Here is a 27,015-nt window from a genome sequence, read left to right as displayed (position 1 = left end):
CTTCCCTATTCCTATATTATTCCCTAGCATCCCCTTTTTCTCATCCTAGCTTTTCCTCTCCACCGTGCTGCGCTATTTCAGTATCTTTCTATGCAGAACGTTACTTTTTGTTGTATTATGCAACTACAGTGTAATCTTTTTGAATACTTTAATTAGTAATTTAAACTCAACATAGTCTTAGCAACAGTGCACGTTACTTAGCTGGCATGACCATAGTCTGAGCGGTGTGGCCAGTGTGAAGCATGAGTGTGCAGTGAGCACCGCATCACAGCAGCCACTTGCCGGCAGCAGCTGTAAGGTTGTATCTAAGCAGTGTCTTGATTTTAGCTATGGTAAAATGAGAATTCATGAATGTTTAAATTTCAGAGACCATCTTTAATTTGATGACTGAAATGTCAGCAGTTATTTGAGATTTTTATTAATAGCATTACAGTTTCAAATGAATAGTTGTTAATTTGCATTATAATGGAAGACATTAATTTACATATTACTCAACAAAAACTTTACCTTAACTCTGAACTAAAAAGTATAATTTTTAGTTTGGGGGAATTAGGCTTATTTATCATTTGGTTTGTTTACACAAGCTGTTATTGAAACTCTTGATTTGTCAATTTCTATTATATTAAGTGCCCATGCCACACGATTTCTTTTCTGCTTATTTTAACATACTCCTATTTCCAGCTGCTTGGAAGGCCAAGGTGGGAGGATCCCTTGAGCCCAGGTGTTTGAGACCAGCCTGGCAAGATGAAGAGACCTCATCTTTATGGGGGAATTGGGGGAATTAGTTAGGTGTGGTGGCTCAGGCCTGCAGCCCCTTCCTGCTCAAGGGAGCATCCCTTGAGCTGAGGAGTTGAGGTTGTGGTCAGCTGTGACGGTGCCACTGTCTTCCAGCCTGGGTGACAGAGTGAGACCCCATCTCTTAAAAAAACCCGAAAAACTCTTTTATTTGTTCTAACTAGGTGTTTTTGCTTTTAAATACCCACTGTCACCCCCCAAAGGAAAGAAAGCACAAAACTTTTATACTCTACTTCATAAATCTAAAGATGCAGAGGAATTTGAAGAAACCGTTAATGGTAGCCTCTGCCTTGCAATACAAGATGATGTTAACAGTTTGGTGTGTATCTTACACCTTTCTGTTTGGTCTTTTAAAAACACATATCCACAGAGTTATTTGGTTGCTATAAAAATAGTGTATTAGACATATTCCTTTTTTCCTGTTTTTATATATTACATAGCTCTATCTTGGTTTCTACACATAGATTTAACTCATTCTCCTTAATTCCATAAATTATTCATCTATTCTTCTATTGATGGACGTTCAGGTGGGTTCTAGGTTTTTTCCCCCTGCTGCAAACAGTGCTGCAATATACATGTTTTGTTCCTATGTACCTATATATGTATTTGTCATAGATTTTAAAAACTGGGATTGTTGGATCAAAGTGTATAGGTTTTAAATTTAAATATCTTCTGAGATCAGATGAGATTGGCACGTTCAAGGTGGTATGGCCATAGACAAAATTTAAGTATCTTGTCAATTGGTTTTTTAAAAAGGTAGGACAGATTCACTCCTAAGACCAATATATAAGGTTGCTCCTTGTCAGGTTTTTTTTTTTTCACCAATTTAATGGGCAAATAATGTCTTACCATATAATTTTATACTTTAAATACATCGTCTTGTTCTGTAATAGGTTCATTTGCTCTTTGTTATTGTTCTCTTCCTTGCTTTACAACTTTGCAAGATTCCTAAATTCTACTTTCAGACTAGAATGTACAGGGAGTATTAATATAGCTGTCTCTCTCCGCCCCATTATCATTTGTTTTGTGTTTTATTGCGTACATTAATTTTTTGTTGAGACACATGAATGCAGGGCATCTTTTAGAAAGGCAATTCTGCTTTCCATGTCACGATCTCCACTGGTACTAAAATATATAATTTCTCATTGAAATTTCAACTTTTATTTTAGATTCAGGGAATACCTGTGCAGGTTTGTTACATGGATCATATTGTGTGATGCTAAGATTTGGGGTATGATTAATCCCATCAACCAGGTAGTAAGCAGAGTACCCAATAGGTACCCTTGCCCCACCCCTTCCTTCATCTAGTCATTGCCAGTGTCCATTGTTCCCCATCTTTATGTCTATGTATATCCAATGTTTAGATCCCACTTACAAGTGAGAACATATAGTATTTGGTTTTCTGTTTCTGCATTAATTCGAATGCTTAGATAATGGCCTCCAGCTGCATCCGTGTTACTGCAAAAGACATAATTTTATTATTTTTTATGGCTGCATAGTATTCCATAGTGTATGTGTGCCACATTTTCTTTATGCAATCCACTGTTGGTGGATGCCTAGGTTGATTCCATGTCTTTGCTATTGTGAATAGTGCTGTGATGAACATATGAGTGCATGTGTCTTTTTTGTAGAACGATTTATTTTCCTTTGGATATATACCTAGTAATGGGATTGCTGGGTTGAATAGTAGTTCTGTTTTTAGTTCTTTGAGATAATTTCTCATCTTTAATCATTCTTGATCACTTCAGATAACTGCAGCAGTTCTATTTCTTAAGTCTTGTTGTAACTCAGCCTTTTCTCCTTACTAATGTTGGAACATCCCCTAGTGGTGAAAGAGTGTACCAGCAGGCCATATACAAAGGCTATGCTTGTGTAGCTCAAAACCTTTTTGGTTGATACTTATTGTAGAAATTATTCTATCTGCCTTATTTTAGTGGAGAAGAAGTTGAGACCAGCGTGAAGGAACTTGCATCATAGTTCATGTTGAATTAATTGTTATTTAAGGAAAAGTTAAGGTTGACTGTGTTTTTTTTTTGGCTACTGTGCAACAAAACTTTTATTAACATTTTGAACAGGTTCAGCTACTACTGAAACTGGTCATTTCTAAATTTAAATTGGGGCAAATGGCTACGGTGCAGAGTTAATGTCGTCATTGGGCACTGCGAAAAGGAGACTGAAGAACTGACAGCCATTCCTCAGATGGCGTCGAGGTGCAGGGTTGACTCTGGATGTTGTAATCAGAAAGAGTGTTGGTTGCCTGCAGCAATCAGCTGGTTGCCTGCAGAAGTGAGCCTCTTCTGGTCAGGGGGCATACTTTTTTACTCTGAATCTTGGCCTTTACATTCTCAGTGGTGTCACTGGGCTCCTCCTCCAGGCTGAAGGTCAGGGTCTTCACAGAGATTTGCATTTTGTTCTGTTAAGTGAAGTCAAAGATACTGCAAATTGCTAGTCACCTCCAGCCACCTGAAGGCCACTACACTGTTGCTCGACAAAGCCAGCCACTGAATCTAAAGTGACTCTTGTGCTGTTTTCATTTATGTTTGTTTGTTTTGGGGATGAAGTTGTAAATCCTACTGTTGTAATGTAGTAAAGAACCTGGCATAAGATGCACACTTAATACTTAGATGAATTAGTTTGATAAAAATAATTTAGGGCTGGGCGTGGTAGCTCACGCCTGTAATCCCAGCACTTTGGGAGGCTGAGGTGGGCAGATTGCTTGAGTCCAGGAGTTTGAGACCATCCTGGGCAATATAGTGAAACCCCATCTCTATAAAAGCACAACAAATTTGCTGGGCGTGATGGTACACACCTGTGGTCCCAGCTACTCAGGAGGCCGAGGCAAGAGAATTGCTTGAACCCGGAAGGCAGAGGTTGCAGTGAGCTAAGATTGTGCCACTGCATTCCAGCCTGGGAGACAGAGCAAGATGCTGTCTCAAATTTTCTTTTTCTTTTCTTTTCTTTTTTTTTTTTTTTTTTTTTTTAGAATTTGCTGCTACTTAACGCTGTATTATAGGCACATGCTTTTTCAGCTGGGCCAAAATGTAGAGGAGATAGAAATAAATCTAATTAATAGAAGTATACTTGTTAAAGGAGCTTTCAGAATGACAACTTTCTCTTGCCTGGGGTAAGATGCAGGCAAAGAGAATGGTCTGATAGAGCACCATGATGTGCTTCAAAGGTTCCTACAAGTTTAGAACTCAGGGTTGGCCATGCATTGTAGAATTAGAAGTTTAGGCATATATTCAATCAACTATTCAGTCTTCCTTCGGGAAGGCATTCAAAAGGCACTAGTGTCTCTTCCTCACTCCCACCCAGCCCAGAGGTAGCCATTGTCACCAATTTATTGATGTATTCGCCTTTTTGATTATCTCAGGAGTAGGTGCCAGTTTTCTCTCTAAGCCATTTTACTTCTGCCAGTTCTGAATATTCAGTCTGGGACTTATCACTGTTTCCTGTTGCCTGCCGCAGCATTTTTCATCGTAGATAGTAGTAATGTTTTGAAATCTATCTAGCAATCATAAGAGTCTTAAAATTCTTAACCTTGAATGTGGAATTTTAAAAAGTTACATACTTTTTAACAATTTAGGGGAAAGTATGAAAGTTTTAAGAACATAGTAGCTTGAATAATTGAAATAGAAAATCTCTCAGTGACGTAAGTGGACATTTTGAGAATGCAAACTGTTTTATTACATTGCATATAAATGATATTTTGCACATTTTTTTTTATAAAGAGAGAGTAAAATGCACGTATCATTTGTCAGTCCAAAGGTAATGTCCCCCTTTTTGCCAAATACTATACAATTAGACAAAACTCTGTAGGATTTCTCTGAATAAAAGGGTTGATTTTGTTTTTTAAATAGAGTATATGATAAAAGCGATAAAGTACCTATGCAAGAATTAATGGTATAGTGTAGGCTAAACTCTTCTTCATATTGATCCTAATACAGGTAATTATGTTATCTTTCCTAATTATAGCTTATTTTGTTATAGCTATCACATTGTTTTGTAACATACAAAAAAGTATAATTATACAAAGACTCCACTTTACAAATGTAAATACAGTCTTGGTTTGGTGTATATTGGATACAATGGTCTTCCTTAAGCCTAAACACAGAAACAAAAGCATATTATAAGAGAAAGTCCAAGATGGGAAGTGATAAAGTGGGTATTGAGTAGAGCTTTGTTAAAATTTAGCTGGTATCCTTGTAAAATTTCCATGTATTCATTAAATTATATTATGTCATTCTTATTTTTAGGAGCTGACTTGAAGTTTTAAGTTTTGCCCTCATAAAGAATTGTCACAATTTGGTTATTACAGTTGGATGATTCTGATTTTTTAAAAATTCTTTTTGTATATATTTGTATAGGTATTAAAATTGAAATTGTTCAATGACTAAAGTTAAGGCTTTAAACGTATTGGGGCATATTTTATTTCAACAGCAAAAAGTAGAACTGATTTTGAACTGGACAAGGTTATCTTCTCAGTTACTGTAAATTTTACAAGTTTGAGAATAAAATAATATTTAGAATGCTAGCTGTGCTGTTTATATTTCAAGATCATTAAAGCACTCTTGGCTTGTGTGGTCTTTAAAGATGGGTTTATCAAATATTTATTTAACATTGGTAGGTATGTGTAATTCTCAGAAAAAAAATCTAGGACTGCAAAACAAAGCGGGATAATTCCTTCTCTCATTCAACAATACAAGGTGTCACAGAAATCTCAGTGAAGTTTTAATTTTTAAAACTCCAGAATTATATATGTTATAAACTTAAACACCATTGAGAAATTCAGTTACTGGAATTTCTTTTATACTTATTTATTTTTGTGAGTTTTTTTTTCTTTTTTGAGACAGAGTCTCACTCTGTTCCCAGGCCGGAGTGCAGTGGTGTGATCTCTGCTCATTGCAACCCTCCGCCTCCTGGGTTCAAGCAATTCTCCTGCCTCAGCCTCTCCCTAGTAACTAGGATTACAGATATGCACCACCACACCTGCCTAATTTTTGTATTTTTAGTAGAGATGGGGTTTCACTATGTTGGCTGGACTGGTCTCAAACTCCTGGCCTCATGTGATCCTCCTGCCTTGGCCTCTCAAAGTGCTGGGATTATAGGCGTGAGCCACTGCACCCAGCTGTGAATTTTGAATGATGCGCTTTTTTTTTTTTGGTGTGTGTGTGTGATGGAGTCTTGCTCTGTCATGCTGGCTGGAGTGCAGTGGCGCAGTCTTGGCTTACTGCAACCTCCACCTCCAGGTTCAAACGATTCTCCTGCCTCAGCCTCCTAAGTAGCCAGGATTACAGGCGCATGCTACCTTGCCTGGCTCATTTTTGTATTTTTAGTAGAGATGGGGTTTCACCATGCTGACCACGCTGGTCTCAAACTCCTGACCTCAGGCATTCCACCCGCCTCGGTGAATAATGCATTTTTAATTTTAGTTTTTTACTTCAGTACTGCTGAAGATGGCAAATACTGACTGAAGGAAAAAATTAAATTAAAAATGTATTATTCAAAATTGCTTTGCCTGAACTTTTACTTGATTACAGGTCGTTATTTAAATCACTTCGTGAAATTACCTACTTTGGAATTGTAGGCACGTACATAGACTATCCTTAAAAAAATTCAACACTCTCCACACTCACTATTATAATATTGTTACAACTCTTGAGAAACTCAGGTTTGAAGCAAAGATGTCTTTGAGGTTTGGAGATTTCTGTGTCTGAAAACAACTGATCTTGTTTTAAGGAATGAAATCTGACTAACTTTTAGCATGGTATAGGATAAATAGTATACTTTAATTGTTTGTAGTAATTACATAATGTGAAAAAATAAGTAAACTTTCAAAAATTGGCATATTTAATGTAGTGAGATTTTTTTTCCCAGTAGCTTCACTTTGTCCCATACTGTTTTTTTTTTTTTTTTTTTAAACTCACACAGCAAATCAAGTTTATTATAAATTCAAGGAAGGGTTTGGTTAAGCACAATAGCCTATAAGCTCCTTGCTATTTAGATAACATCAAGACTCAGGCATGCACTGTGGAATTGGAACTTCGGTGAGCTAACTAGCTAGGATTTATTCAAATAATAGGAGCTCTACGAGTGACAGATGGCAGAAGGGCACATCTTCTGAAAACTTACTAAAAATTGGTGAATTACAAAATTCTAAATTTTAATACCTTAATCATTTTGAAAGCAGTTCAGACAGAACCGAAACAGAAATATTTGGCATAAAATTCCAAATTTTTATGCTTAGTTTTATTTTTATTATTAAAAGCCAGCTTTTGAAAGCTGTGCAAATATCAGGAATTGGGAAGAATGATGATATAGTGCTACTGGTAAGAAAAATTTCTTCAATTTGTTTTCTCTGATATCGAATTTGACTTGGTTAAAAAACGTGTGCTCCAGCAGTCCAGAAAAGTTATATTTCTGTAAGTAATGGGTTTATCAATTTGGTATTAATGCTTCAAATGTCTGATTAGATATATAGTAGAATTGTATTTAATATGTATTTTTATCTTGATAAGCAGTGTATTTTAAATATGTTTATGTGGTTTTTTATCCTCTCAGTCATTGAAATAATCAGGGCTTTTACTTATGTACATTTAAAATTTAAATATGTTTTTAACATACATATGTTCTAAATGTAAGAGCTGTTGGAGTTGTCGCATTGGAGTTGACTAAAAGTTTATGTGAAAAGTGAATTCTTGGGTAATTTCCTTTGAGGTGTATAATATATTCAAAGTGAATAATTAATTGGAGGTTTTTAGAGCAACTTTTTATTTGAATTGTTTATTTTTAGCACTTTGGTAAAATTTGCTAAGACTTAATTTGCTTTAAAAAACAACTACGTTTTAGAGAAATTACACTCATAAAAAGAGTAATGGTGTAATATGGTTAAAAAATTGTATTTTGAAAAGTATGAAAATAGATTGCTATAGGCAGTGAACTGCCTATAATAAGCTCATTTAAAAATAATTAATTGGAAGAGTTCTTTATGTGGTCTAACTGTAGAAGATGAAGTGAAAAATATTATTATGCTGAACTAAGGTGAATGAACTCCTTCTATAGATGGAGAAAAAGTTTTAAATAGTTAAAAGTACATGGGCTTAATGAAAACATTGGATTTTAACGGCAGTTCCTTTCTAAAGTTATAAAACATGCTTATTCATCTATTTATACATACATTCTACATTGAAAAATTTGGATTTACAGGAGTGGGAAGTCTGTAGGTTTGTGGGAAATTGATGAAAGACAAGGGTGAAGAAGAGTAAGATTCAAAAACCAACAGAAGTTTGGTGAATTGAGTTTATGGATAATACCTGGCACATAGTAGATTGAGTCAGTGGACTTTTGAGTCAGTGCCCCAGAGGCAGAGTCCTTAATATTCGTGGCCCTCTGTGCCAGAAATAAATGTCTTCTGAAAGTTTTCTTCTGTCTAAAAGCTTCAGATGGGTGGGAATTAATTTTTAAATTTTTTATTTTTATTTTTTTAGTGATGGAGTCTCACTGTTCTGCCCAGGCTGGACTCAAACTTTTGGGCTCAAGTGGTTCTCTCATTTCAGCCTCCTGAGTAGCTGAGACTATAGGCATGCACCACTGCACCCAGCTGTTTAATTTTTAATTTTCTGAAAACCTTTTCTATTATCAACAATTTCTACACATTAAAAAGTAGAAAGACTAGTATAATGGACTCTCATGTATCCATTCACTCAGCTTTTAACTTTGCTTTAGCAGTTATCAAACTCATGGCCATCCCCTGGTCAATAAAGATGGGTTTTTTAATTTAAAAAATTTTAATTTTGAAGTAACTTTAAACCTACAAAAAAGTTGGTGTATCAGTGTCAAGTTGCTTATTAAGTTCCTTGATTAGTCTTCTGATACTTGCAGAATCTTTTGTGGTATATCTGCTTATTACTGATACTGGTAATTTGCATCTCTCCTCCCCGTTTTCTTTCATTTTGATGAGTCGAGGTAGCAGTTAACAATTTTATGGATTTCAAAGAACCAGCCTTTTTGGTTTCAGTGACGTTTCCTCTTTCTGTTTTTTTATTTCATTGATTTTTTTCTCTGAATTTTATTTCCCTATAGCGGTTACTCTGGGAGTAATTTGCTATTCTTTCTCTGCTTTTCTTAAGGTGGAAGCTGAGGTCATGACCTTTCTTCTCTCAGATACTGGAATTTAGTGCTATAAATTTTTTTCTAAGTACTGTTTTAGTGGCATGTTACACATTTCAATATATCATTTTTATTCAGTTCAGAATACTTTGTATTTTCCACTTTGATGACTTTGACCCATTGGTGTTTTAAAAGTTTATAATTTTTTTTTTTTTGAGGTGGAGCCTCACTGTGTTGCCTAGGCTGGAGTGCAGTGGCGTGATCTTGGCTCACTGTAGCTTCCGCCTCTGGGATTCAAGCGATTCTCCTGCCTCACCCTCCTGAGTAGCTGGGACTACAGGCATGCACCACCACCCCTGGCTAATTTTTGTGTGTGTGTGTGTGTGTGTGTTTTTAGTAGAGATGGGGTTTCACCATGTTGGCCAGGCTGGTCTTGAACTTTTGGCCTCAGGTGATCTGCCCGCACCAGCCTCCCAAAGAGCTGGGATTACAAACGTGAGCCTGCGCCTAGATTTATTTACTTGAAAACAGTTGTATTATTTCAGGTCTTATGTTTAAGCTTTGTTAGGCAGTACCAGAGCAGTTTTTGTTTGAGGCAAATTTTATCCCGCTAACTAAAGCAAAAACCCGAATACCCTTCCTGATTCCTTGTGGCTAATGGGGTTTTCCATTGTGGTTGGTAAAAATGGGTACGATTCCCAGCCTTTTGTGAGCCCTGGTGGTTTAATTCCCTTAATCATTTTGGGTGGTTCTTTCCCTGGCCTTCGGTAGTTTCTTCACACACAAGTGCTGAGCGGTACGCAGCTGAAGGCTTGAGGGAGTCCATCTTGCAGGTCAGTCGTGTTCTTAGTGGGTCAGACTCTCTTCTGGTGATCTGACCAGCAAACCTCATTGCTTTGGTGCTTCCCCAGACTTCCAGTTTCATCTCCCAAACTCAGGGAAACTGCTGGGCTCCCTCTGAGTTCCCTGTCCTCCCTTTTTTTGTGACCTGTAAAGTGTTTTCCATCAGTAAACTGGGACAGTTGTAGGGCTTACCTAGTTTGTTTTTTTAATCTCTCAATTATCAGTTTTCTTCATTGCCTGATGTCCAGTTCCTTGAAAACCATTATGTATTTTGTTGTTGCTTTAGGGCAGAAGGGCAAATATGATCCCTTTTGTCTCAACTTGGTTGGAAGCAGAAGTCTCCATATGAGAATGTGAAGTAATCCTTCCCTGAGGAAGCATATTTTAGGTGGTGGTGATTGGAACTGGAGATCAGAATTGGTTATCAAAAATGACCCCATGGGATGTGGTGGCTCATTCCTGCAGTCTCAGCATTTTGGGAGGCTGAGGTGGGAGGATTGCCTGAGCCCAGGAGTTCTAAACCAGCCTGGGCAACATAGTGAGACCCTGTCTCTATTTAAAGAAAACTAACAAACCCAAACCAAAACAGACCCCGGTGACTACTGAGTGATGACTACAAGGTTCATTTTTGAGCCCTTAAGGAAGAATCACAGGCTAAAGGTTAAGAACCTCAGACTAGTATTCTTTAGCAGGGACAGTGTCAGAGCAAAAGGTCTTTGGTTTATCCTTTGATAGTAGGCCTGTACGGTGTTATTACTTTACACATTCAGGTGATGATAGCCGATCTTCTCTACAGGGAAAGAGGTTGGGCTTATTCTCACCATAGTCTATAGTAGCAGGCACAGCCCTTGAAAATAACTGCCACCCAAAAGTGCTTTGATTTTATGGAACATTATTATGGTGGAATAACTCTGGTAATATGCTCTAGGACCATTACACTGCCCTAGGTGGAGAAGATCTTGTTACCATGCCCAAAAGGTTTTGTGTGGTCATACGGCTTGTTTAGAGGAAGTCGGACCCGATAGTGTGTAAGGTTTCTCCTTTTCCACAATGGCACTGAGTTCAGTATCTTACTGGTTATTTATTTTTGCACCAATGTTTATGTATTCACATATTTGATAAGAATGTCGTAGTTAGGAGTGAAATTATTAAAACGACGTAAGTAACTGTACAGACAGACCCTTCTCTTTTTTGAGATGGAGTCTTTCTCTGTCGCCCAGGCTGGAGTGCAGTGAGGTGATCTCAGCTTACTACAACCTCCGCCTCCTGGGTTCAAGCAATTCTCTCACCTCAGCCTCCTGAGTAGCTGGGATTACAGGCACCCGCCATCATGCCCGGCTAATTTTTGTATTTTTGTAAAGATGGGGTTTTTCACCATGTTGGCCAGGCTGGTCTTGAACTCCTGACCTCAGGTGATCTGCCTGCCTTGGCCTCCCAGAGCGCTGGGATTACAGGCGTGAGCCACCACGCTGGGCAGATAGACCCCTCTTATTGGTTGCTTTATGATAGAACACCAAGAAGTTTCAACAATCTTTATGTATGGGGTTACTTTAAAATTCTGCATTTGGTTTTTACTTGGCTGTTAATTTATATCATCTTAAAATAAATAGGTATTGTTACTTAGTGCACATTTTTTAAATCAGGTCATTTATTCAGTAAGCATTTTTGAGTGCCTAGCGTGTGTCAAGCCTGCTGTGCACTGGGTAGATGAGTAGAGGTATGGGATCTGAAACGAAGGCAGTAATAGTCCTACTGTGAGATCAGCCTCATGTAAAGCAGTGGTTATCACACTCGGGGGGCTGAAACCCATTTACCTTCTTGAAAATTTTTGTGGATGCTAAAGAGCTTTTATTTATGTGGACTATAGCTATTGATACCATATATGAATTAAAACTGATATTTCAAATATTTATTACAAAAATAAAATTATATTTTAAGTAACATTTTTGGAAGATATTTTCTAAAAAAACAAAAAGTTAGAAAACTGGCATCGTTTTACATCTTGCAAATTTCTTTAATGTGTAGCTGAATGTTTAATATTTGAAATACAAAAAAAAAAAAAAAGGAAAAATATGTCAGTGGGCTCAATGAATTTTTTCCCTGGACAAGTTTTGTAGGTAGTCAGGAATAATCAGAAGGTTGCCCAGTGGACTTGGAATCGAATGATGGAGTCAGCTGAGTGCTCTCCAGTAGGAGTAAACCTGCCATAGCGATTGACTTTTGGCCAGGGATTGCCATTTATGTAATTGGTGCTTAGTAAATATTTATTGGATGATTAATAATCTCTGAGAAGTTTTTGGCTTGGTTTCATTGCTAGTGCCATAGCTCTTTACTATGCTACAGTGAATAATTTTGAGTTGTGTGAAGTACTTTTAGCTCAAGATGGTTAAACTACACTACTTCTGAATCTGTGGAATGAAAAAGGAAGACTCTGTTAGTAGTTCCTCTCAATATAAATTGTCCTGTATCACAGTAGTTGCTAGTCTAAATGAATTAATGAAATATGCCATGTTTTGTGGTAGTTAAGTAATACAGATTCAAGCACTGGTATCCCATTGAAAATGTCATTAGAACCAGCTAGCACTTTAGAAACTACTTAAGGGTCATCTAAAGTTTGATACATCCCATGAGCAAGTGATGAATACATCACTACTTTGGAAGAATTCAAATTTAAACAAAATCTTATTAAATATTAAAAGAACACTTCGATGGTATAAAACAGTGGTCCCCAACCTTTTTGGCACCAGGGACTGGTTTCATGGAAGACAGTTACGGGTGGGGAGGGATGGTTTCGGGATGAAACTGTTCAGTCTCAGATCATCAGGCATTAGATTCTCATAAGGAGCACGCACCCTAGATCCCTTGCACGCGCAGTTCACAGTAGGGTTTGTGCTCCTATGAGAATCTAATGCCTCTGTTGATCTGATGGGAGGTAGAGCTGGGGCAGTAATGCTTGCTTGCCTGTCACTCACCTCCTACTGTGTGGCCCTGTTCCTAACAGGTCCGTGACCCAGGGGTTGGGGACCCCTTGTATAATAGACAGTTGATAGAATGCAGTTGTATCGTCTACTAAGATAGAAGATAGTTCCCTAACGTCTGTTCCCTTTCTTCCCTCAGTGATCTTCCATTGTTTGAAGCACTGGACCTTTAATCCACTGTAGGTATGGACAGGGAAGAAAGGAAGACCATCAATCAGGGTCAAGAAGATGAAATGGTAACCAGCTGTTCTAATTTACTGGTGATGTGTGAAGACTTTATCTCTGCAATTTATTATTTTAGGGACTAGAAAAATGCAATTAACAACAGTGGCGGCAGCAGCTAACTCAATGGGCTTCTTTCTTCATCCTGTGCTTTTGAATTGGGATTGTGTAATATGTCTATTAGTTGCTTTTAGTATAATTCTTTTTTTACCTGTGGTCTGTTAAAACTGAGAAGAAGTATGTTTTTGCATTTGGTGATTTAAGAGGTAACATTGGCTAATATAATCCTAAATAAAAGATTTAAATACAATCCCAAATAAAGATTTCTAATTTTGACTTACAAAAATTTTCTAAAATCAGCTTAATAAAAAAAGCCAACTTCAACTTCTCTACTTTTTGTTGGGGGGAGCCAGAAAGATGTCAGGTGAAGTATAAGATGCCCTGTTAAATGTAAAAGTCACATAATGAAGGGAGAAATTTTTAGTATAAATATGTCCAAATGTTGCATGGGACAGACAAAAAGATTATTTGAAATTTAAATTTAAGTGGGCCACCTGCATTTTCATTTATTAAATCTGGCAACGCTTGTTGGGGGGCTCACCTGAAACTATGAGACAGTTTGTCAGTGGATCAAATTGATTAGTCGCAGTGGTATTGGGACAATTAGTAAATCATTTGGGAAATAGTAGATTAAAATCTATTCGTCCAAATGTACTGTGATACTCTCGATTATATTGTGCAACAGAAATAACATGTTAGTGGAAAACTAGTGAAATCCTAAAACTGAGTTTAGTTAATAGTAATACAGCAGTGTTAATCTATTAATTCTTAACAAATGTACCAGGAAATGTTAAAACATTAGGGGAAACTGCACAAAGGATGTACAGGAACTTCATAATATTTTTGCAACTTTTCTATAAATCTAAAATTTATTTCAAAATAAAATGTTTATTTAAAAAAAAAGCCCACCTCATAACAAGATAAATTCAAGAAGAATTAAAAAGATATGTAACAATGAAATTGCAAACATTCTAGGGAAGTGTACTAAATATGAATTTACTATATCAGTGGGAAAGAACGTATTAGGCATAAATTAAATATAAAATCAAAGTGTAAATACCAACAAATTTACTTAAAATATAACTGACAGTAAACTGGTCAGAAACAAAATTTAAAGGTAAATTATGGATTGGAAAATATTTACAGTTTATGTGACAAGACAATAAATACCTATCTGGAAAACAAAGAACTTTGGAATGTGTTTCTCTGCCATATCATTTTATCATTTGATAATTAATCATGTGATCGCTGTGTCCATGCAGGAGATTTATGGTTACAATTTGAGTCGCTGGAAGCTTGCCATAGTTTCTTTAGGAGTGATTTGCTCTGGTGGGTTTCTCCTCCTCCTCCTCTATTGGATGCCTGAGTGGCGGGTGAAAGCGACCTGTGTCAGAGCTGCAATTAAAGACTGTGAAGTAGTGCTGCTGAGGACTACTGTAAGTTTATGTGTTTACTTGTAGCTGATTATTTAAGGAGTAAAACAATGTCTTTGTGTATACTTTATTCGAAATAATAGATGAAGGGAACATCGCTGCCTGGATAAAATGAGGAATGCTAATTCTAGTATTTCTAGAGGATTTGTGTTTGAATTGACTATTATTATAATGATTAGAGTTTAAAGGAATCTTAAAGATGATCAGATTCACCCCCTTCCTTTCATCTCTCTTGTTGCCCTGAGAGATTAGCTACTTGTCTGTTACGGTGCTGGTCCATTAGGACTGTAGTCCAGATCTCGGTCACTAGGCCAGCTGCCTGTCTGCTGTGTGATGCTGATGCATTTCAGCCTTTTTTCTTTTTTAAAAACCCTAATTGGAAGCATTTTATAAGAGGTTTTAATATTTAGTCCAAATATAGAGACTAATTAAGGAATTACTCATGATATTTTATGAAGTATTGATGTGCTTATCGGTAAAATATGTCATAAAAACCATGAGCAATGGAAAGCACCTTATGTTTGAATTTAAGCATCCTCATGAAATGGTTTAATATTTAGTGAGTAGGCGTGATGTTTCCTCAATTAGAGATGAGGAAATAATGTCTTGTAAAGAATGGAAAATAAATGAAAATATAGGCAGTTTTCTATAAAATTGACTCCTTACCGTTATCCCTTTCTCTCTTTAAGGATGAATTCAAAATGTGGTTTTGTGCAAAAATTCGCGTTCTTTCTTTGGAAACTTACCCAGTTTCAAGTCCAAAATCTATGTCTAATAAGCTTTCAAATGGCCATGCAGTTTGTTTAATTGAGAATCCCACTGAAGAAAATAGGCACAGGATCAGTAAATATTCACAGACTGAATCACAACAGGTATTGTGATCTTAATGTCAAAGTTTCTTTAAAAATCAGAATTGTTACATTTTATGCTATCATGTATATTCTATAATTTTGTGTTTGCAGTTAATGCTTGAGATAAATTTACCTGCATATAAAATATTACATATTACTATATATAATGCTATATATAATCCTATATATAGCTGTTAATAGAAGTAACAGATTACATATCACAAGTGATTATATGCTTTTTGGTGTAACGTTTATTTGTGTTCCACAGATTCGTTATTTCACCCACCATAGTGTAAAATATTTCTGGAATGATACCATTCACAATTTTGATTTCTTAAAGTAAGTATCTTCCTTTTGTTTGGATTGTATTTTGAATATCCTGAAAACGTTCTAGATAGAAAAGAGTCCATTCTAGTATTCATAAAATTGCTGAGGTTTTATTTTATAATTTCTATTCACGTATTAATTAACAACTCCCTGTTGCTGTTTGAAGGCTCATTAGCCATTTTAAAATAAGTCCCACCGCAGCTTGCACCATGGCAGAGTTTACATGAAACTTAGAGTCAGTATGATGCCAAAGTCTACTGAGTCTGAGTTCTTACCTGTTTCACCTCAAAGTGATTTTGAGTATACCTCATAGCCTGTGTCTCAACTTAGAGTATCTGAATCATTACCTGTTGGTTTACTGACACTTAAAGCCTGTGGTACTTGAGGAGTAGAGTAATAGGCAAAGAGAAATTTAATTTTACTATGTAGATAAAGAATGGGGCAAGCTGTAGTAATTCCTTTATTTTTAATCGAGGATTTAAGTTATATAAGTACACATTAAGATTCTGTTTTTATTGCTCTTAAAATGATTATTATAAATACTCATTAATATCGTTGCTTTAGAGTGCCAAAGGAATTCTTAATTTTAGCGGTAAAAAGAAAATCATGTTATGAACATTTAAAATATTCATACCTGTAGGTTTCTATTGGAAGTAAAAAATAAAATATTCATACCTGGATTTTTTACTCAGATACACTAATGAATTGGAACATTCTGGAATGGGCATGGGCATTTTTACATGCCTAGTTTTAAAAACCATTCCTGATTAAGAACTATTGCCTTAAAGAAAATCAGGCCGGGCATGGTGTCTCATGCCTGTAATTCTAGCATTTTAAGAGGCCAAGGCGGGCGGATCACCTGAGGTGAGGAGTTCAAGACCAGCCTGGCCAACACGGTGAAACCCCGTCCCTACTAAAAATACAAAAAAAATTAGCCTGGTGATGGATGGCTATAATCCCAAATACTCAGGAGGTTGAGGCAGGAGAATCGCTCAAACCCAGGGGGCCGGAGGTTGCAGTGAGCTGATACTGTGCCACTCCGTTCCAGCCTGGGCCAAAGAGCGAAACTGCGTCTCATAAAAACAAAGAAAATTGCCAATGGGCTGTCATTTTGTTTAAAAAAAAAATTTTTTTTTTTTTTTGACTTGGCACTGGCCCCTGCTGCCTTCTGGAGAAGTCATCAAATTCAGTGGGAAGAAATGTCAAACATATTTACTGTGTGTCTTTTGCCAGCCATAGAAACTTAAAAATTTAAACTTACTCCATTGATTGAAGTGAATTATGAAGCTTAGCTTTCCTATGTGGAAAGTGTGGAAAAGGATTGGAATTAAGTATATGTAAGACTTTCTTTGCTTTAGAGTTATAGCTGGTATCTCAGTTAAAATAAGCATAATTAAGGCGGGGGGTGGTGGCTCATGCCTGTAATCCCAGCACTTTGGGAGGCCAAGGTGGGCGGATCACCTGAGGTCAAGAGCTTGAGACCATTCTGGCCAACGTGGTGAAACCCCTTCTCTACTAAAATTACAAAAATTAGCTAGGCATGGTGGTGTGTGCCTGTACTCCTAACTACTCAGGAGGCTGAGGCAGGAGAATGGCTTGAACCCAGGAGGCGGAGGTTGCAGTGAGCCGAGATTGTGCCACTGCACTCCAGCCTGGCGACAGAGCAAAACTCCATCTCAAAAAAAAAAAAAAAAAAAGCATAATTAAGATATTTTGGGAAAAAGTAGATGTGTTAGTTGAAGCCCACTTAGAATTATTACAGATTTTAGGCATTGTCTGTGACTCATAAATTCTGCACTTCAAACCAGGTATGCATTTAGGGAAGGGTTTGGCTTGATGCTTTTATGGAGATGGAAGAAAATGAATAGAAATTCTTAATTTGACTCTAAAATTGAAAAGGAGAAACTATGTAGCTAAAAAGTAAAATGTTTTCATCTTTGGTTTAGAATTCTCAAGTTATACTTTATCTTAAAATTTTAAAGTTTAATTTTAGCTATTACAGCTTTGGCACAGTCTTAAGGATAATGATATTATTATATAAATTTGAGTATTTAGAGCCATCTCATCTATCCTGCAATAAACATATTGAATAGCTTCGAAGTTGGGTTTGAGACTTAGATTTGTCATTGTTTATCTTAAGAATTTGAGATTTAAAAATTCTCATTTGTTATCTCAATTTTTGTTAAGGGTTTCTAAGGATTTGTAAGGAAGTCACACCTTTATAAAATCAGGCATATAGAAAAATGAGGCGTTAAGAAATTTGGATATTTTAAACTTTGTTTAAAGTAAAAACTTTGGATTTATTTAGGGGACTGGATGAAGGTGTTTCTTGTACGTCAATTTATGAAAAGCATAGTGCAGGACTGACAAAGGGGATGCATGCCTACAGGTAATTTTTATCCAACTAAAGTTAGATCTTCTCAAAATTCCTAAAAGCAGTAGTATACATAATCAACCCTTTACCATATAGTTGTACATATTAACAGATACTTAAATATTACAGACATAGTAGTTGAGAATTTATTGATGTTTTATTTGGGTAAGACTGTCTTAGTTTAAGAATTATAAAAATGTGCAAGCTGATATTTTGAAGTTGGTATCCCTGAAATTATACCATATTTCATCAGTTCCCAGGTGCACGTTTTTCCACCTTTTAACATCTCTGAGATTGGGATGTGTCATAGAGTTGGTGAAGTGTCGTTCTTGATAGCATTTTTATCTTTCTTGATCATATAATAATGGTATGCCTTACAATTGATAGCACCTTAGATTTTCTGAAATACAAGCATGAGTTCAAATTCACCGTAATGAAAGATTGTAAATTGGGAGACATAATCTCCTTCATTGTGTTATTCCTTGTTAAATCATAAAAATACACCAGTGTATTGCGTATGTTAAAGATAAATGCCACTTTGAAATTCAATAAGAAATTTTCTTATAGTTCTGTAACATGTTCTTTCAAAGGGGTAGAACATAAAATTCACTCATTTAGACTTACATTTCATAAAAGTCTAGAATTACTCTATCATATAGAAAATACTATTGTAACATAAGGAATTAAGTGGAAACATTTAAACTTTAAAAGCATTTTCTTTTAAAGTCGAATGTACAATGTTTTGAACTAAACACTGTTAGTGCAATATTAAAAAAAAAATAAGATCCCTCAAATTTATTTGGCTTCTTGCAAAAAATAATTGTAATTCAAAATTGTTAAGATCTAGTGTGTTCAAGGATGCAAAAGAGAACCTTTTGCTCACATGGTATTATAGACTAGTGGGAAAGATACTTGTCACACATAAAGATGTGAGACAAAATGAAGTTAAGTGCTACCAGTATAGGTATCTACTATTGACTTCTTTGTTTTAAATTCTGTAGGTAGAGAGTTTGAATTATAGAAGACAGGTGTTTGGAGACATGAATAAGAACAGTCTGTGGTTTAAGCCTTACCTAATACAATGCCTTTCGTAAATTATACTATTATGATATAATGTAATACTATGAATGTATTTTCCTGTTATAGAAAACTGCTTTATGGAGTAAATGAAATTGCTGTAAAAGTGCCTTCTGTTTTTAAGCTTCTAATTAAAGAGGTAAGACTATTGATTGTATATAACTTAACAGTCATGATCAATGGATGTGTCAATTTGGAATGAGTTGTGATTAAAATATTCTTGGTTTTCTTTTTCCTAACCTCTTTTTCATATTTTTACTTGGAAGGTAAAGACGGAAGACATTTACTCTGGTAGAGAAAGAATCTGGGGCATGTATTCTTAAAATTTTGTCTAGTTTTGCTTTTATTACCTGTTGAATGTCTAGCAGAGTTAGGCTCACCAATCTTCATTCTGGTTTTTGGCTAAAGCTCAAGAATTAGTTGTATTAGGTGAACACTTTTAGGAGTAGAAGTAAGATTGTTTTTCATCAGTTCCTGGGAGTGGCCATGTAATGTTGCTTATGAGCATAGCATAGTGTAGTGATTAGGAATTGGAAGACCTGATTTTAATGTAGTTCCATCAGTAACTAGCTCTGATCTTTAGTACATTCTCTCTGTTGCTCCTTTACCTATAAACTTGGAATAAGTTTTTTCCAATTATCTCATTTGGTTTTGAGGTAAAATGAGACTATATATGAAAGTGCTTTGAAAAGTACAGAAGCATCAATTTGAAGACATTGGGTGGGGGGTGTTTAATGAAATTGATAAAATACCATGACATTTGGGTGGGTGAAGTTCATTGCCAAGGTCTCCCTTTATCTCTTTTTCATTCAGGATTTAATACTTAGTTATTATCTTAGAGAAAGCAAAGTAACATAACCCATTAACTCATATTTGTCTTTCCTTTGACCTCCAGTTAACTTTTGATATATAAGTAAATTTGTGTTTTGAGTTTATAGTAAGCAAACATTTTTCAATTTCGTTAAAAGTTTTGTATTCTATTAGCCCAGAGCACAGTAATTGGAAATAAATGTACTTTATTGCCAAAGCAGATTGCAGAACGGCTAAAATCATACACTTACTAGCCTTTTCTAGCTGAATCTATATTTGGATGGTATGAATCTAAATGGATGCCAGTAATTTAAATTAACCTTATTTAGCCAAATTCTAGTATTTTAATGATAATAAGAGTATGATGGCATATTGCCCTACCTTTTTTTTTTTTTTTTGAGACGGAGTCTCGCTCTGTCTCCCAGGCTGCAGTGGCGCGATCTCGGCTCACTGCAAGCTCTGCCTCCCGGGTTCAAGCCATTCTCCTGCTTCGGCCTCCTGAGTAGCTGGGACTACAGGCGCCTGCCACCATGCCCAGCTAACTTTTTTGTATTTTTTAGTAGAGACAGGGTTTCACCGTGTTAGCCAGGATGTTTTGATCTCCTGACCTCATGATCCGCCCGCCTTGGCCTCCCAAAGTGCTGGGATTACAGGCGTGAGCCACCGCGCCCAGCCTGCCCTACTTTTTAGGGAAGTACATTTTGCCGTAGAATACTATGGAGCTTATCTTGTACATATTTGTATCTTTTTGTTTGTCAAATGAAAAGATGGACAATCTGTATGGTCATTAATACCTCATTCAGTTTGACTTTAAAATCTTGTTTTTTAGGTTCTCAACCCATTTTACATTTTCCAGCTGTTCAGTGTTATACTGTGGAGCACTGATGAATACTATTACTATGCTCTAGCTATTGTGGTTATGTCCATAGTATCAATCGTAAGCTCACTATATTCCATTAGAAAGGTAAGTTCAAATTTATTATGGGTTTCACAACTGTATTTGTATTTTGTAGTAACATCTAATGTGTGTAGAATAGTACTCAGCACAAAGTAAATTCTCAATGCAGTCATTATTTTAGTTGCATGAATATATGCTCCTTCTCCCCTCCCTTTTTGTTTGTTTTGCTGGTTGGGAGGTTGGGGATAGCAGGTGCTTTGTAGAGTCAAGACTCTACCACTTGACTGTCTAGAGACCATAGGGATCTGTAGTTGCTGATCACAGACTGGAATACTGGAAGGTACTGTTTTCAGGGCTATCCTGTTAAAGTGCTTCTTGTTTTGTCTTGAACTAAAACAATGAATACTCTGAATTTCTGACTCGACATTTTATAAAGATGGAGTGATATGCATTTATTGAATTAACTTATTTTTTTAGCACTCTGGCTTTTTTCCTGAGGAGTGGGTTCATATTGGCTAGTTTCTAACTTCTTTTTCCTCTTTCAGCAATATGTTATGTTGCATGACATGGTGGCAACTCATAGTACCGTAAGAGTTTCAGTTTGTAGAGTAAATGAAGGTAAGTAATTGAATGTTGGAAGAATAAATCAAAAAAGATACCTGTTAGGCATAATGTGTGAAGTAAGCCCAAAGTATAATACATATACATTCTTTGATTGATTGATTGATTGAGTCAGTGTCTCTGTCACTTAGGCTGGAGTGCAAAGGCACAATCTCAGCTTACTGCAGCCTTGACCTCCCAGACTCAAGTAATCCTCCCACTTTAGGCTCCCGAGTAGCTGGGACTACAGGTGCATGCCACCATGCCCAGCTAATTTTTCTATTTTTTTTTTTTTTAGAGACAGGGTTTTGCCATGTTGCCCAGTCTGGTCTCAGACTTCTGGGCTGAAGTGATCTGCCCACCTGGGCCTCCCAAAGTGTTGGGATTACAGGTTTGAGCCACTGCACTGTGCACCCGGCCTTTTTTTTTTTTTTTTTTTTTTTAAAGTCGATGTGGTCTCACTGTTGCACAGGCCTGAGTGCAGTGGCTCAACTTACCCTCCTGTCTCAGCCTCCCAAGTAGGTGGGACTACAGGCTTGTGCCACCATTCCTGGCTAATTTTTTCTCTTTTTTTGAAGAGGCGAGGTCTCACTGTGTTGCCCATGCTGGTCTTGAATTCCTGGGCTCAAGAGATCCTCCTGCCTCAGTCTCCCACAGTCTTGAGATTACAGGCTTGAGCCACTCTGCCTCGCACATACATTCATTTTTTTAAGAACTAAAAGTATACATTTCAGTTCCTGAGTTTGTATCAAATTCATTTATTTATATAAAATTGTATTTTTCTTCTATGTAGCAGGCACTATGCTAGGCTCTGGGGATTCGGTGTAGAGATAACAGTAGTAACAGTAACAATACAGTGTGACAAATGCTATGATAAGGAGAAGTCAGCCAACTTATGTATTAGGGGAGCTCATTTACTGTAGGTATCAGGGATGACTTCTTTGATTAAGTGCTTGTAAGTGATGACTATTTGAATTAGCCAAATAAGAGGTAGGTGAGAAGTTGATAAGGGGAGGCTGAGAGAAGGAGAGAAGAGGGTTCTAAATACCCAAAGGCCTAGAAATTAGAGATTGTGTGGACATTATAAGAACTGAAAGAAGAAATTTAGTATGACAAATACAGCAACTATAAATGATGGATAGCTCTCTGAAGCATGTTAGGGATTTGGGCTCAGTCCAAAAGACAGTGGAAAGCCATTGAAGGCTATTATTATTAATTTATTTTATTTTATTTTATTTTTTCGATAGAGTCTCCTTCCCAGGCTGGAGTGCAGTGGCAATCTTGGCTCACTGCAACCTCCGCCTCCCAGGTTCAAGGAATTCTTGTGCCTCAGCCTCCTGAGTAGCCGGGATTAGAGGCATGTGCCACCACGCCCAGCCAGTTTTTTGTATTTTTAGTAGAAACAGGGTGTTACCATGTTGGCCAGGCTGGTCTCTAACTCTGGGTCTGAAGTGATCCACCCGCCTTGGCCTTCCAGAGTGCTGGGATTACAGGCGTACACACCATCACACCCAGCTAATTTTTGTGTTTTTAGTAGAAACAGTGTCAACCTTGTTGGCCAGGCTGGTTTGGTACTCCTGGCCTCAAGTGATCTGCCCGCCTTGGCCTCCCAGAGTGCTGGGATTACTGGCATGAGCCACCATGCATAGCCACCATTGAAGGGTTTTAAGCAGAGGAGTGATAAAATACTTGCCCTTTGGAAAAAAATCATTCTGGCGTCCACATTCAGACTGGTTTAGAGGAGAGTAATACTGAAGACATGCCCCCCCGAATCAAGGTAGCAATTGCGGAGATGAAAAGAAATGAGTTCAAAAGATACTTAAATGTGACCATTGAACAGGATTTGACTCATTGGATATGAGGCCATGGAGCAGTGTCTGGCTAGGTGGATGGATGTTGGTGCTGTTTAGTTAAATAGGAAACTGGAAGAGAAGCAGGCTTGCAAGAATGGTAATATTTTGGACGTGTAACTTGTCTGGCAAGATGTTGAAGAGGTAAAGGAGGCAGCACAGCATCATGGGCCTTGGAGGCAGAAGCCGCTTTGATTTACTCAGAACACCAAATCAGTCTCCATTTTCTTGACTCAGACTACACCCAAGAGATTGCTTCCTTCCCTGTGCTTCCTGGCCACTTGCTACTCTAGCTAGGAAGATCTGCCTCCCTTAGCTGAAGTCTAAGATGTGTAGCTTATTGATGCCTCTCCTCTTCTTGTTCTGCTGTTGCTGAATATAATGGGGATGCCAGGGCAGACATACCATTCAACTTGAATCTTCCTTACCCACTTTGTATAGTCTTACATGTCATTGATACCTTGTTTTCTGGTACGCCTAAAAGGAGTAGAACTTCAAGTGGTATTTAAAAGCTTTAAGAAAAGTCAAATTTTTACTTTTTTCTTCCCATCTGAGGAATGGATTTATTTTCTTTTTAAAGAAATCCAAATTTTTAAAAGAAGGGATCTTATTTTTAAAACGAAGATCGATAATATCTACTATGTACTAAATGTCATTCTTTAAAAGTTGTTCCCTCATAATTTAGTAAATTACTTCCTTTTTTAAAAAAAGGAAAGAAAGAGTGTTTGTCTTACAGGCTAACATCACAAACAATAAGTTTCTTCTCATCCATCTCCATTTATAAACTAGTGTGACTGTCTTCTGAGCACAGTATTAAACCTGGACAGGGAGAGGGAGGGTGTTAGAGAATGAGAGGAAAAGAGAGAGAATACCTACATATAAGGTGACCCTAAAGAAAAGCCTTTCACCCTTCGGAAGATCTTTTCATTTTCATTTTTCTTTTTTTCAAACACCAACTTGTACCAGAGGGAAGATCTTTTTTTAAAAGTGTTTCACTAAAATTTGTAAGGAAATAATGAGCTAGATAAAATATTACAGTGTTTATTTAATGAATTTACTCATATTTAAAATAATATCTAAAAAGAGTAATTTAGGAATATTGAGGCAATGAGACTTGAAGGTTATAAATAGTGGCAGTGAGAAAAGGAATATTATAGATAAGCTGTTGAAAAGAAAAGATGCTAAGTTTTCTAGTGCTTCCTTCTGTTTCCAAGGGATTATAGAAATCGGAGTTTGTTTGACCTGTTTCACAGGCATCTCCTTTGTGGACTCATTGTGTCTCTTCCTTAGGCTAATAGTCACCATTTATCATGGACGGTTGTCATGAGTGTTGAAGCACACTTAACCTGCTTCGTCAGAGGGTACTTGGCATCACCGGTGCACAGCTGGTGTCCTAGCAGGAGACTAACTAGCTGACACACCGTGCTTTGTTAGCCTAATAATCTTATTTGTTAAAACTTGCCATTTGTTGGATTTTTCTATTTTACCCCATTATAAACTTCTTATTGAGATCAGATGACTTCTGAATAGCATTTGCTGTATTTTTCCAAGGTAAAGAATATCTTTTTCAGATTTTTCTTTCTTTCTTTAATTTCAGAAATAGAAGAAATCTTTTCTACCGACCTTGTGCCAGGAGATGTCATGGTCATTCCATTAAATGGGACAATAATGCCTTGTGATGCTGTGCTTATTAATGGTACCTGCATTGTAAACGAAAGCATGTTAACAGGTAAGCTAAATGAGTAAATATCAACATGAGTTGTTCATGATATATCATGACTAAGTTAGTGAGTAAGCCTTTTCAAAATTAGCTATGTCATTTGTACCTTTACTCATGAATATGTTGGATATTGGAGATTTAAAATTCTGAGTAGACCGAATTCTGCATTATACTCAGCTGTAATACTAGATACTGTGCTATAGTGTTGGTCACATCTCTTGACCTCACTCTGGCTACTCTTTGGACCTTAGGAAATGGTTTAAGGTTAGGGAAGTGGAAAGGCGGCCTTTTCCCACAGAAAATGTGGCATACAGTATTTGGTTCCCCATTTGATGTGTAAAAAGTGGGAATAAAGAAAGATTTTATATTTTTCTTGAACTGAGGAGATACAGGCTTTAAAATGACTTCCCTTTGGAAATTCACAATCTTGAGGTAGAGCTTGATTTTTTTTTTGTTTTTTTTTTGTTTGTTTGTTTTGAGACAGAGCCTTGTTCTGTCACCCAGGATGGAGAGCAGTGGTGCGATCTTGGCTCACTGCAGCCTCCGCTCCCAGGTTCAAGCAGCTCTTATGCCTCAGCCTCCCGAGTAGCTGGGACTACAGGTGTGTGCCACCATGCATGGCTAATTTTTGCATTCTTAGTAGAGACGGCTTCACCACGTTGGCCAGGCTGGTCGTGAACTCCTGTCCTCAGGTGATCCATCCACCTTGGCCTCCCAAAGTGTTGGAATTACAGGCGTGAGCCACTGTGCCTGTCCAATATCTTATTTTAATCGTGTGAATTTTTTTTTTAATTGTCCTAGTTGATCTGGCTAGAAAATGATTTATATGTAATACATTTTGAAACTGTTAAGAGTCGTGTCTTAAAACACACAAACACATATCTCGTATCTTAAAACACACAAACAAATACATATCTGACACACATGCCTTCTTTGAAGCAAGAAATGTGAATGCTGCAGAGAATTAATTTTAAAAAGAATTTGGCTGTTTGTGGTTGTTTGAGAGAACCACCACATTACTCATTTTCACATCTCTTTTTTGCCCAGCTGTCTTTTCTGTTCTGTGTGTGTGTGTGTGTGTGTGTGTGTGTGTGTGTGTGTGTGTGTGTAGGGGTGGATCGGGGTAGGCCCTCACATCTCTTCTGTACAGTGCTTTCCACTGTTACCATTAGTTCTTAGAGGTGCAGGGACTATAGCAACTACTTAATCTTTTTTGAAATTATTTGAAACTGAACAATGCAACTGTTTCTAAATATAAACAAATATTACCTTTGAGCCACAAATCACTTTCTGGAATTATTGTGGGAGATAATATTTGATACTTCTATGTGAGGAAATTGGTAGACAAAAAATTAAGCCATGTTGTCCACATATACAACTCTCAGTGATTATTGTAAACAGTATGGTAGCATTTAAAATATTTAACAATTTAATATTTTTTGGTGTTCGATACTGATTCCTGTGCTTTCGTTTAATAATTTGTAAACTGTTTTTGTTGTTGTTGTTGTTTTTTAAAGGAGAAAGTGTTCCAGTGACAAAGACTAATTTGCCAAATCCTTCAGTGGATGTGAAAGGAATAGGAGATGAATTATATAATCCAGAAACACATAAACGACATACTTTGTTTTGTGGGACAACTGTTATTCAGACTCGTTTCTACACTGGAGAACTCGTCAAAGCCATAGTTGTTAGAACAGGTAGGAAACATCTTAATTAATCTCTTTTTGCATGTTTCAGCATATTTGATACCTACTAAATGTTTAAAAAGAGATTCTGGGCTGGGTGCTGTGGCTAACGCCTGTAATCCCAGCACTTTGGGAAGCCGAGGTGGGCGGATCATGAGGTCAGGAGATTGAGACCATCCTGGCTAACATGGTGAAACCCCGTCTCTACCAAAATTACAAAAAAATTAGCCGGGCCTGGTGGCGGGCGCCTGCAGTCCCAGCTACTCGGGAGGCTGAGGCAGGAGAATGGCGTGAACCCAGGAGGCGGAGCTTGCAGTGAGTCGAGATCACACCACTGTACTCCAGCCTGGGTGACAGAGCGAGACTCTGTCTCAAAAAAAAAA

The 27,015-nt window shown here is 37.0% G+C and overlaps 1 protein-coding gene across 22 annotated transcripts in view, besides 1 other annotated feature; it reads left to right on the top strand.

Annotated features, from left to right (window-relative positions):
• Window positions 1-27,015, top strand: part of ATP13A3 (ATPase 13A3) — a 91,658-nt gene that overhangs the window by 19,234 nt on the left and 45,409 nt on the right. For 15 of the 22 annotated variants that reach the window (NR_164667.1, NR_164666.1, XM_047448912.1 and 12 more), the window contains 10 exons: window positions 12,865-12,961; window positions 14,270-14,443; window positions 15,130-15,312; window positions 15,560-15,630; window positions 17,927-18,007; window positions 19,139-19,208; window positions 20,709-20,843; window positions 21,323-21,395; window positions 24,825-24,956; window positions 26,465-26,644. Coding sequence is in view for 20 of the 22 variants with exons in the window: in XM_047448912.1 (XP_047304868.1) it covers window positions 12,911-12,961; window positions 14,270-14,443; window positions 15,130-15,312; window positions 15,560-15,630; window positions 17,927-18,007; window positions 19,139-19,208; window positions 20,709-20,843; window positions 21,323-21,395; window positions 24,825-24,956; window positions 26,465-26,644 (1,150 nt within the window). In the remaining 2 variants the exon portion in view is untranslated. Of the gene's footprint in view, window positions 1-3,777; window positions 7,218-12,864; window positions 12,962-14,269; window positions 14,444-15,129; window positions 15,313-15,559; window positions 15,631-17,926; window positions 18,008-19,138; window positions 19,209-20,708; window positions 20,844-21,322; window positions 21,396-24,824; window positions 24,957-26,464; window positions 26,645-27,015 lie in introns of those variants that run through there. The other 7 variants (XM_047448910.1, XM_047448916.1, NM_001374836.1 and 4 more) reach the window with 3 other exon arrangements.
• Window positions 24,404-25,603: an enhancer, noted in NCBI's record as "CDK7 strongly-dependent group 2 enhancer chr3:194170227-194171426 (GRCh37/hg19 assembly coordinates)". NCBI's record gives its function as "activates an origin of replication core promoter dependent on BRD2, BRD4, P300/CBP, MED14 and CDK7 cofactors, with strong dependence on CDK7, by STARR-seq in HCT116 cells {active_cell/tissue: HCT116}" and the evidence as "EXISTENCE:reporter gene assay evidence [ECO:0000049][PMID:35650434]".

This window comes from Homo sapiens, chromosome 3 (genome assembly GCF_000001405.40).
Source record: "Homo sapiens chromosome 3, GRCh38.p14 Primary Assembly".
NCBI classification, from domain to species: Eukaryota; Metazoa; Chordata; class Mammalia; order Primates; family Hominidae; genus Homo; species Homo sapiens.
This window is presented reverse-complemented; position numbering and strand designations above follow the sequence as displayed.